The 12927-nt window shown below is 44.6% G+C and overlaps 1 pseudogene; it reads right to left on the bottom strand.

Annotated features, from left to right (window-relative positions):
* Positions 8555-9527, bottom strand: OR11M1P (olfactory receptor family 11 subfamily M member 1 pseudogene; annotated as a pseudogene).

The raw sequence follows: 12927 nt of genomic DNA, 5'->3' as shown, positions 1-12927 counted from the left end.
TGAGCAGCTTTTCATCAGCTGCTTATTTGCCATCCATGTGTCTCTGGTGAAGTTTCTATTCAAAGTTCCCCTACTCTTGGCCGTAGTCATCAGCAAAGGAATCAAGGATTTTCTTTTTTTCCCCTTTAACCGTGAGGTCAGTGTTGCTGGAACAAAAATGAGAGCAACAAGCCTAATCTTTCCTAATCTCCTTCCTTCTTTTCCTTTCCTTTTCTTTTTTTTTTTTTTTTGAGACGGAGTCTTGCTCTGTCACCCAGGCTGGGGTGCAGTGGCGCGATCTCGGCTCACTGCAAGCTCCGCCTCCCGGGTTCACGCCATTCTCCTGCCTCAGCCTCCTGAGTAGCTGGGACTACAGGCGCCCACCATCACACCCGGCTAATTTTTTGTATTTTTAGTAGAGATGGGGTTTCACCATGTTAGCCAGGATGGTCTCAATCTCCTGACCTCATAATCTACCTGCCTCGGCTTCCCAAAGTGCTGGGATTACAGGCGTGAGCCACCGTGCCCAGCATCTCCTTCCTAATAAAGAAAGCTTATTGGCTTTCAATAAAATAATACAGTGGAAGATCAAAGCATTACTTCTGTATGGAATGGCAGTTTTTCCTGTCCAGAGAACTGCCGCTTCTACTAGTGGCCACTGTGCCCTGGGGTGGTCTCTACTGTGGGGCAAAATGATTGCTTGCTTTTCTTTTAGTGTAGCCCCCTTCCCTCTGCACTTGCTCTTTGGATGCAGCATTAAAAAAAGGTAGGTCAAGTTTTTAGGACATGTGTTTGAATTCAGCGCTCTGAGGCAAACTGCTTCAAAGTCCAATTTACATCCAGATTTGGGGATGATCAAAAAAGTCCACTGTTACCTCTGCTACTGCTTTTTGTTTTGTTTTTTTAAATGGGCAGAAAAGTTCATGTCTTGCTGGCTACAATCATAGACGTGTGTATGTTTCTTGCTCTTCTAATACCACAGACAGCTTTGAGATGAGCAAAAGATAACAAAAGCAGCCATAGGTAGCCAGCCGAATCATTGCCATTTATTGAAAATACCATGCTTTCCTTACATCAGTACAGTGCCAACTTTGTCCTGTCAGGTGATCATATTTGTGAAAGTCACCATTCTGTTCCACTCATCTGTTCACCTGTCTTTTCACCAATACTATGCTATCTTAATTACCATAGCATTGTAATAGATCTTGATATCTGGACATGTGAGATGTCTGGTTTTTTCTTCATAAAAGCTGCCTCAGCTACTCTTCAGTTGATTTTTTTTTTTTTTTTTTTTTTTTTTGAGATAGAGTCTTGCTCTGTCTCCCAGGCAGGAGTGCAGTGGCGTGATCTCGGTTCACTGTAACCTCCTCCTCCCAGGTTCAAGCCATTCTCCTGCCTCAGCCTCCTGAGTAGCTGGGATTACAGGCGTGCACCACCACGCCCGGCTAATTTTTGTATTTTTAGTAGAGTCGGGGTTTCACTATGTTGGTCAGGCTGGTCTCAAACTCCTGACCTCATGATTTGCCTGCCTCGGCCTCCCAAAGTGCTGAGATTACAGGCATGAGCCATCGTGCCTGGCCCTTTTTTTTTTTGACAGGGTCTCACTCCATCACCCAGGCTGGAGTGCAGTGGAGCGATCTCAACTCACTGCAGTCTCTGCCTCCTGGGTTTAAGTGCTTCAGCCTCCCGAGTAGCTGGGATTACAGGCATGCACCACCACGCTTGGCTAATTTTTGTATTTTTAGTAGACATGGGGTTTCACCATGTTGTCCAGGCTGGTCTCAAACTCCTGGCCTCAAGTAATCCGCCTGCCTCAGCCTCCCAAACTGCTGGAATTATAGGCGTGAGCCACCGTGCTGGCCCTAGTTGATTTTTAAAAGACTAAAAAGAACAATGTTGTGCTTCTAGGATTGAATGAAAACACTCCACATCCAAAGCTCTGTTAAAAGAAGTGTCCCAAACAAAAGAATTAACTTTTCTTTCTTTCTTTTTTTTTTTTTTTTTTGAGATGAAGTTTCACTCATCACCCAGGCTAGAGTGCAACGGTGTGATCTCAGCTCACTGCAACCTCCGCCTCCTGGGTCCAAGCAATTCTCCTGCTTCAGCCTCCCGAGTAGCTGGGATTGTACGCGTCCACCACTACGTCTGGCTAATTTTTTGTATTTTTAGTAGAGACGGGGTTTCACCGTGTTGGCCAGGCTGGTCTCAAACTCCTGATCTTGGGTGATCCACCCGCCTCGGCCGCCCAAAGTGCTGGGATTACAGGCATGAGCCACTGTGCCTGGCCTTATTTCTTAAGTGCAAAGTAAACATCTACAAAAAAATATGTATGCACTCTCAACTTTGATGATTTTATGTAGGGAGCAGAAAGGAGTTGCATTAGATTTTGATTAAGGATCTGTTTATATTAGTTACTGGTTGGATTATTCTGGGTGGGAATTTTAGATTCCCTCCCTGGGTTTGTAATGGGACAAAGGATAGGACCGTATCTAAATCCCCTTTCTAGGCAACTAACCATAAAGTAAGGGATCAGTAAACATATTTTAACCAAATGTAATGCAGATCACCAAAGGAGGTACAGAATCTGCATGCACACAACGAAGAATCTTGCTAATTAAGGGGGGTTAGGGTTCGTGGTGGGAGAGTAAAGAGGACTCTTTGGAGAAGTAGAGGAGTGAGGAAGAGTATTTGTCAGTGTCTTTGCTGTGTTATAAGCCACCCAAAAACTCAGTGGCTTACAACAGCATTTATTTTTCTTGCTCCTGGGTCTGGTGGATTGCTGATGGGTTGGGTTGGGGAGGAGACTCTACTTTAGGAGCCAGGATTTGGGTTGGGATCAGGTCTGTTCTAAATGTTTCATTCTGGGATGTAGGTAGATAGAGAGTGCAGCTCTCTTCTGGCAATCACAGAGCACAAGAAGCCAAATGACACCAGGCAAGCACATTTTTCATTTCAACTTAGTCATATCTGCTAACATTTCATTGGCTAAAGCAGGTTGCATGGCCAAGTTCAACCTTGATGTAGTGGGGAAATAATACTCTGTCCTATGTGTGGTCTGGAAGATCACACTGACGTAGGAGGTAAGGAATTGGGAATAATAATTCATTCTACCCAAGGAGGGGACAGAATTCTTTTTTTTTTTTTTTTTTTTAAGATGGAGTCTCACTCTATTGCCCAAGCTGGAGTGCAGTGGTGTGATCTTGGCTCACTGCAGCCTCTGCCTCCTGGGTTCAAGCAATTCTCCTGCCTCAGCCTCCTGAGTAGCTGGGATTATAGGCCCACAGCACCACGCCTGGCTAATTTTTGTGTTTTTAGTAGAGACGGGGTTTTGCCATGTTGGCCAGGCTGGTCTTGAACTCCTGATCTCTGGTGACCCACCCACCTTGGCCTCCTAAAGTGCTGGGATTACAGGCGTGAACCACCATGCCCAGTCCGGACAGGATTCCTGGATAGTTGTGAGCCACCTTGCTGCTTCCTGGAATGTGGAGATATAGAGAACTTCCTCTAGGAGATTTGGGAGATAATTAGCCCTAGTATAGAGCTGTGTAACACTAATGCTATAGTACAAGCTGGCCTCTCTTTATTTCCTCTTCACTTTATTTTCCTGTTCTTCCACTCCTTCCTTCTCCTACTGGGAACCCTCAGCTGGGACTTAACCATGGTGTGTTGCCAACAAGACAAGGAAAGTATTTGAGCCAGCAGTTGTAGCAGCAGCAGCGACAGCAACAGCAGCGACAGCAACAGCAGCAGAAATGATGAAATCCATCAGAGAAGGAGGCAGCTGCAGGAGCAGCAAGGCAGTGATAGTGCCAATTGGGGAATGATTTCTGTAACACGGAGGGTATGGCAAGGGTCAAATAAGATCTAGTGTCTGAAAGTGCTTTATAAACTGTTAAAAGACAATGAATCAGGAGATAAAATGAGAAACGCTTTTCATTTTAGTTTCAGCTGAGTCCTAAAGACAATAGACAGATGCCACATTCCAAAGTAAAACGTAAAGTGGCCAGGCATGGTGGCTCACATCTGTAATCTCAGCACTTTGGGAGGCCTAGGTGGGTGGATTGCTTGAGGTCAGGAGTTTGAGACCAGCTCGGCCAACGTGGTGAAACCCCATTTCTATTAAAAATACAAAAATTAGCCAGGTGTGGTGGTGTGCGCCTGTAATCCCAGCTACTCGGGAGGCTGAGACAGGAGAATTGCTTGAGCCTGGGAGGTAGAGGTTGCAGTGAGCTGAGATCGCGCCACTGCACTCCAGCCTGGGTGACAGAGAGCAAGACTCCATCTAAAAATAAATAAATAAAATAAAAAATAAATAAAATATATTTTAATAAAGAGAATGGTGGAGATGCAAAATGGAAAGAACCTGGGTTTCTGAATGTCTTTGTGGAATAAAGGAGCCTGTCTACCCATCTTAGACTATTGTGAGAGACAAATAAATGTCTAGCACCATATTTTTGGGACTTTCTTACAGCAGTTTAGTTATTTCCCTAAGCTCATCACCCTGATATTCTGCCAATCTTTCCCTGTCTGTAAATCAAACCTCTCCCACAATTTCCTTCTGTTTCCTCTTGAGTCTCCTTCTGGTGATGGAGAATAAGATTAACCCTCTCCAATAAATGAATTTTATAAGAGCTGGCATTTTGAGAGCTAGCATCTAGAATGCCATATTCAGCTGTCAATTTTAGCCCAATCTGGATGACCCTCAGGAATTTCTGAGACAATAATTTTCCTTAATCATCTTTCCAGAGGAGATATAGGAAACTTCAGTGGTGGGCTTGGAGAGAATGGGATATCCAGCTGTTTATATCATGTAGGAAAGGCTCCATCTTGACCCAGTCCTTAAGCATTCTGCTTGAGACAGGTGAACTTGAGTAACTTTTATTTTGGAGGCAGAGATGGGGGAAGATTCAGAACTTCAAAGAACCTTGAGAAATTACCCCATCTTCTGGGCTACCTTCTCCAAGAGCCATGTTTAAACAGTCTCACAGCTTACAGCTGGTCAGGTATTTAGACAAATCTTTGGCTTTGCAGTGTTTTACCCAGGCTGCCTTAAGGATAGAGAAATAAAGTATAGATCAGAGGCAGGGGCAGAAGTCTGAAAGGGGCTCAGCTGAGGGAAAGTTGGGCTTGCGGGCTGGAGCCAATTTATGCTGTTGGAGAGTCCCAGGTGAAGAGGATGCATGTGGGTGCTGCCATGATGCCTGGGATGAATGCATCACATGATTACTCTGCCTCATTTTCTCATCAGGGGAACATTCTCAACCCTCTCCCAAAGCCCATGGCAAATCCTGCAGCACAGATGCCACTAACATCAGTAGCCCAGATATTATCTGCCCCTCTCCCACCAAACCCCACTGGCAGAACAGTTGCTCTCTGCCCTTCACATTCCTCTTACCAGGCAGATATCACTTTAGGATCTTACACAGTCCTCTTGGCAGTTTGTCATCACCAATGTTATCATCAATAAACTCTGAAAGGACAAGTGGATGAGTGGGGAGGGAAATCTCTCTTTTTCTATTTTGAATTATTGATCATTTTTAGAGGGGAATTCCCAGAGGAAAGTGAATCCTGAGATTCAGAAATCCTTTCTCTCTGGAGCTCCTCTCTGGGTTTGCCTTCCATTTTGCCTGGGTTTTCTTGTTTTTGCTTAGACTCCTTCTCTGAGCACTGGTCCTTCCAGAAGGCATCTAGGACATGATGGACTAGGGAGAGCTTTTGTTTTCGGGAAGCTGCTCAGAATGTCTGGAGTGCTGGTATGTGGGATGATGTGTGTACTAGGAGCAGATAACATGTCTTGAAGGGTGGGAACCCATGAATGGGGAAGATGAAAAGGAGATTGTGAATCAGGGGGCTTAGCCAGGGGCCAGTCTTTCTTCCTTCTTTTTGTCAGGATGATCTCTGTGGGATCTTGTTTCAGTGTGAGGACTGTTTATTCCCCATATTCAGCTTCCCCAGCACAGGCTGACAGTCAGGTGATAGGGAGCAGTGCATTCAGTTTTGCACCTATTTTACCTGCTCCCACTTCATCCAGCCCTCAGAGGGATAGAGTCCTTACTGCTGCACATTAGGTTGCAGGCATTTTCTGAGGAATGCTTGTGGTCTTTGTATCAGAAGTTGTTCAGCTGGAAAATCCCGTTGTCACTACTGCCATCAGCAGTTTTTTCCATTAAAGGCCTGGGTGTTCAAATTACTCTCACACTGAACCAAGCAGATCCCTGTGTCAGAGAGAGCAAAAGGTATGGATAGAAAAGGGAGAGTGCTCCATGATGAGAGGTCATCCAATAGGCCATGGGAAAGATGAGACATAACTTATGCTGTACTAGTGCTATCTGAAATGAAAATCCATTTTTAAGACTGAGTTGAGGCCGGGTGCAGTGGCTCACCCCTGTAATCCCAGCACTTGGGGAGGCCAAGGCGGGCAGATCACCTGAGGTCAGGAGTTCGAGATCAGCCTGGCCATCATGGTGAAACCCCGTTTCTACTAAAAATACAAAAAAAAATTAGCCGGGTGTGATGGCAGGCGCCTGTAATCCCAGCCACTCGGGAGGGTGAGGCAGGGGAATGACTTGAACTCGAGAGGCAGAGGTTGCAGTGAGCCGGATGGTGCCATTGCACTCCAGCCTGGGCAATAAGAGTGAAACTCCATCTCAAAAAAAAAAAAAAAGAAAAGAAAAAAAAAAAGACTGAGTTGAAAAAACTATGAGATCCTCAATGTCAGAGATCATTTATAATTCATATGCACTCCCAGTCCTAAGCAATAATTAGCCCATGGAAAATATACAACAATTTATTAAATGCTTTTATTAATAAATTTAGAATTTTATTCCAAATAAAATAATAATTATAATTATAATAAATTTATTAATTTGGAATTTTATTCCAAATAAATCCAAAATTATTTGGTGTCATTTTATGGAATTAAAATTGGAATGACCAGTAATCAATCAATCACAGTCTGTTTCCCAATCAACCTTTCCAGCCTCATCTCCCAGCCAAATACTCACTTGTATATATTCACTTTTGTTCTATATCCCAAGGTACATGCAAGAGAAAAGGTGGAAAGGTAGCGGAGGAGAATCCTTGGAAGGCAGCACAGAAAAACCATCCTTGGAAGGTTTCTCTACATGAGAAAGAGTAGGTTTGGCATGGAGAAAAATGAAGAAAGATATTCAAGGGAAGTTGAAATAGTTTCATTTCTTGTAACCAATAAGATGGATGGCTGAGATTCTCAATCCCTCTTGTTACCCTCATCATCACTTCCCCTTCATTCTTACAATCCCAATCTAACTCTCTTGTGGCACTAGTAGAATAACCCTGATAAAAACTTAGCTGATGTTCACTTGATTTAGAACTTTTCTGATCAAGTAAGAATTTAGTAGGCTTCTTATCTATTGCATTTCTAGAAACAGTATGCCATAGGTCTGTGTGAGTCCGGCTATTCTGATTGCTGATTTGACTCTGCTGTCCATTGTGGCAACCATGTACACCTTGCCTTTGGAGGTTGAGTGCTGCCACTTGGCCTCTGCCATCTCAGGATGCAGTCACTCCCATTGAATGTAGGTTTCCCAATTCAGTGACTGCAGTCCTCACCGTAAGGTCTGGGCTACAGTGAAGAGAGATTACAGAGCTCTTCAAGGATGCCGGGGCTTCCCTATTTCTTAGTCATAGTGAAAAGTATGTCTTCTGGGCCCTCTCACATGGGTAAGTAGGTCTTAAGTAACAAATCCACTCTAATATTTCAATATCCTTTAGCCGTTGAATCCTTTCTCTACATTAAATCAAGGCAGATCCAGCATTTCTAATTCACTTACTGTATCCCACCTTTTGGTTCATGTTTCAGTCAACCAACTAAACAAACTGTTAGAATCCTTCCTAGTTCCCCAAGCTGCAACATTAAATGCAGAATTTCTGCTTTAGTGAGCCTTGAAGGGAGAGTGAAGGGAAGGAAACCCAGATATTGCAGCTCCCCGAAGCCCACTAGGATCAGCCAGGTGGTCTGGTTCCCACTGTCACAAATGTATATCAATACATTCGGCTTTATTCAACTTTACGTTCCTTCCATCATCATCCCACAATTTCAAGATCTATTTCCATGCATGTTCACTGGATTTCTGTCTGTATAAATTAGAAAACCCAAGTAATTCTTTTGGATTGTAGTGCATGTCCTCATGGGTCACACTTTGTGCTCACCTTTAGAGGCCTGCAGGGACTTGGGTCTAGCTATAGTTTTAGAACCAAAGAGGAGTGATGGGTATGGGTTCTGAGGAGAATCAGCATTGTCTTGCATGGGAACTGCCCCAGGGGAGGCAATTACAGTTTCTTCAGGCAATGTGGGATTAATTCCCTCAGACAGGGACAGAGGCTGCTGTCGCTGGGGTTGGGGAAGCTGCTACCACTGGGGATAGGGAGGCCAATTCCAATTGGAAAATACAGTTACCTCATTTTGGTAGACATCCATTTTCAATCCCACAGTCTCCATCTTTTTATTGCAGTGGTCTCTAGTCCATCAGACTTTGAGGAAGGGGCTAAGCTGAAATCAATCCAGGAAGAAGTCAAAAGCTGTCCTGTCCTCCTTAGTGAGTGTGTCCTGGGATGAGCTGTCCCCTGAGCCTATGCAGAGCCCCCTTCACCTCTTGGTTCTTGAGGCTGTGGATGATGGAGTTGACCATGGGAGTGAACACTGTGTAGAGGACAGAGAAGACCTTTAGAAGCAAGGGGACATGTGTTCTATTGGGGCCACATAGACCACAATGAGGGTGCCATAAAATACCCCAACTACGGTGAGGTGGGAGGAACAGGTGAAGAAGGCTTTCTGCCTCTCATGGCCTGAGGGTATTTGCAGTACAGCCCTCAATGAAGGCAGAGGATGCCACAATCAGTAGGAAGGCGGCCAGTGTCAGGAAGCCTGAGATGCTGACTTCAGCTCCCTACATGACTCCCACATCCCCGCAGAACTGCCTGACTACTGGAGCAAACTCACAGAAATAGTGGTCAATCTCCCTGCTGCCAGGACAGAGGTGCTGCCAGGGCCATAGTGAAGGCAGAGGAGAAGAAGCCACTGAACCAAGCACCAGCGGCCAGGCAGTGACAAAACCAGGTGCTCATCAGGGCAGGATAGTGAAGGGGGCAGCAGATGGCCAAGTAACAGTCATAGGACACGGCAGATAGCAGGAGGCACTCAGCTGCAGCCAGCGAGGAAAACACGTAGAACTGAGCCAGACAGCTGACTAGAGAGATGACTTCCTTCCCCTCCAAGAAACTCTGCAACAGCCATAGTATGACGTTGGAGGTATAGCCAATCTCCAGCAGGGAGAAGTGGCAGAGGAAGAAGTACATTGGTGGGTGCAGTGTCCGACTAGAGGCCACAGCCAGCATGATGAGGGCATTGCCCCCAACTGTCACCACATAGATGGCCAGGAAGAGAGTGAAGGGAAGGAAGCCCAGGTATTGCAGCTCCCCGAAGCCCACTAGGATCAGCCAGGTGGTCTGGTTCCCACTGTCACCACTGGACTGCTTCTTCTTCCAGGTCTGGGCCCAAGAGAAGAGAGGAAGGTAGTTAATATTAACAAAGATACTATTATGGCCACACTCCATGCTTGGCTTATCCATTTACTCATCACAGCACGCATCAGAGACAGGCCTTATTGTCTCCCAGATGTGGAAGAGAAACTAAGACCCGTTTGTTCAAGTCAATTATTCCAGGTCATTATGATGGAGTCATGATGTGAACCCAGGTTTGCCTGACTCTAAGGCTCCCGAATGGTCTACTGTTCTACAGTGCTTTCCCAACCTGCTCCACCCACATTTTTTTTTTTTTTTTGAGATAGGGTCTCACCCAGGCAGGAGTGTAGTGGTGCGATCACAGCTCACTACAGCCTCGACTTCCTGGGCTCAAGCCATCCTCCCACCTCAGCCTCCCAAGTAGCTGGGACTACAAGCACATGCCACCATGCCTGGCTACTTAAAAAAAAATTTAACAGAAATGAAGTCTCCCTATATCGTCCAGGCTGGTCTCAAATTTCTGCGCTCAAGCGATCCTCCCAAAGTTCTGGGATTATAGGCGTGAGCCACTGCATCTGGCCCCAAACGTTTTTTAAGTGATAGAAATGTCAAAATTAGAGAGCAGCATAATGTTCTTCCAATCCGCAGGGAGCTATTTACCTGGAGGTCCCGGCTGGGCACCAACAGGAGGACCACAGCTGGTGAACTGTGGAAGGGTAGGAGGCGTGCGCATCGCCTCTAGGAGAGTTGGTCCTACTCTGAAGTCATGCACGTTCCTGAGGCTGCCACTCATCTCAGACTATTTTTTCTTTCCAAGAAAATGAGACTTGGAAATCCAGATGAGCAATCTATATCATCTATTCAGCAAGATATGCAACACAGAAAGATCTGAATTAACCCAGATCCCACCCCCCTGGGAAACCACTCTTTCTCTTTGGACAGGTGGCCTGGTGACCCTTGGTAAAGCCATTTCCACACTTTGCCCAGTCTCCGATCAGTTTGTTGGAAACTGGAAACACTCTATTTATCTTGGTTCTCCTGCCTTGTATTTTCCATACAGGTCAAATGCTCAGTTTATCTTAACTAACTGTGGGTTCTTTAGAAACTTCTCTTCTGGCGTAGGTTTCCTTCTCTCAGTTATTGCAGCACTACCTTTCCACCAAACACATAGGAAGACTTTGTGGAATGAATAAATAAATTAATATATGAATTCATTACAATAATTTTCCAAAAGCAAATTGCCATGAAAAAATTGCACCATCTGACAGTTAACGCTAGAGTCAAAGAGACATTTAAATGACTACTAAAATAGAGGAGGAATCATTGGGTCATCCCCTACAGTTGAGGGAATATTGGAAGCTTGGGATGGAATCATAAATAAGAATGGATATGGAAGTCAAAAATATGTGTGTGCGTAGGAGGAAGAAACCAGAAAGCCCAATGTGATAGTTTTCTCACTTTTGAAGTTAAGAAAGGCGACATCTCACATTAGCCGATGGCAGTGAGAACACAGGGTTTTTCTGTTCCTGGCCTGATCCTACGTTTTCCTTTGGCTTTGGGCTTACATCATGCAGACCCACATTCAGTCATATGGGGATACAGACATGGAACAAACTGAATGCTTTCATATGTATTTGAACATATTCTGTCTTCTATATACTAATGATTTCTTAAAGAGCCAAGGAGTGACTTGAATTGAGAGTGAAATAGGACTCTGGGTTTAGCAGAAAGAGGGAGCAAAGGAAGAAACTAGTTAAACTAACCAAATCAACCAACCAGTCAACTGACCCGAAACTTCTGAAGTCTACACTCTGAGCCAATGCTTATGATTATAAAGTTAGAAGCACTGCCCTTGCCAACCAATGAATTTGACCTTGGTTCCTGGTAAAATTCCTAAATAGATGCTATGTAGAATAGTTGGAAGTCCCATAAGGGATCACCAGGATCTTTGTAATGCTGAACCTAATGTAAAACCTCATAATAATATCTTTTATTGACAGTACTAATAATTTAACAATCAGGAGAAAGGAGCAGAGAAAGGGCATGTTAATCTCAGTAAAGCTTCATAAAAAGATGATGACTGTGTGCTTAGAGATAACGCTTTTTTAGCCTGGTGCAGTGGCTCACGCCTGTAATCCCACCACTTTGGGAGGCCGAGGCAGGCGGATCACGAGGTCAGGAGTTCAAGACCAGTCTGACCAACATAGTGAAACCCTGTCTCTACTAAAAATACACAAAAAATTAACCAGGTGTGGTGGTGTGCGCCTGTAATCCCAGCTACTCAGGAGGCTGAGGCAGGAGAATGGCGTGAACCTGGGAGGCGGAGGTTGCAGTGAGCCAAGATCGTGCCAATGCACTCCAGCCTGGGCGACAGAACGAGACTCTGTCTCAAAAAAGAAAAAAAGAAAAAAGATAACGCTTTTAGTTTGGCTACCATACACCAAAATTATTCATTAATGACTAAAAATCTGGAGAAATCTGTCTAGTGAAAAGGAGAATGTGTTGTAGATCTTATCTTCGTCACCTATTTTAGCAATGACTTCAATAGGCATAGTAAGCATGCATGGCTCATCAAACTTCAGATGATATGAAACAAAGAGGGAAAATCAATATTGTAAGCAACAATTATAATTCAAAATAATCTTGCCTTTTGGAATGCCAAACTAAAAACAAGACGGAATTTAACAGAGGCACATATAAAATCTGCATGTAGATTTTAACAACCGGTTACACAAGCATAGGAAGGGTAAGACCCAACTTAGTAGCCAATTATGTGAAAATAATTTGGGCTTTTTGTTGACTATCATGAATTTTTTCTTTTTTTTTTTTTTTGAGATGGATTCTGGCTCTGTCGCCCAGGCTAGAGTGCAGGGTTATGATTTCAGCTCACTGCAACCTCCACCTCCCAGGCTCAACTGATTCTCCTGCCTCAGCCTCCCAAGCAGCTGGAACTGCAGGTGCCCAACACCGAGCCCGGCTACTTTTTTGTATTTTCAGTAGAGACGGGGTTTCACCGTGTTAGCCAGGATGGTCTCCATCTCCTGACCTCGTGATCTGCCCGCCTCGGCCTTCCAGAGTGCTGGGATTACAGGCGTGAGCCACCGCACCCGGCCTGAGTATCATGAATTAGGGCTTGAAAACTGTGAAATACAAGGAATAGATGAAGAATGTAGAGAATCTGGAAAAGACAAAATGAATAGAAGAATATGATAACTGTTTTCAAATATTTGAGAGACTCTTATAAAGAAGAGGAATTACATTTAATTCACAGAACAAGGACCAAGGGTGTGGTGGTGCTGGAAAACCCATGATTACTCATCTGTGCTGGCTTCCTAGAGGTGATTCTTAAGGGGTTAACCATTGTTATTTACTGCATTTTTTGGGGGGTTTGAAAATAAGATGAGGCTCGGGGGACAGGGTCAGTGTGGTGAAGTGGAATTTCTTCCT

This window comes from Homo sapiens, chromosome 12, assembly GCF_000001405.40.
Source record: "Homo sapiens chromosome 12, GRCh38.p14 Primary Assembly".
Lineage (NCBI taxonomy): Eukaryota > Metazoa > Chordata > Mammalia > Primates > Hominidae > Homo > Homo sapiens.
Note: the sequence above shows the minus strand (reverse complement) of the source record. Positions and strands in the feature narration are given on the sequence as shown.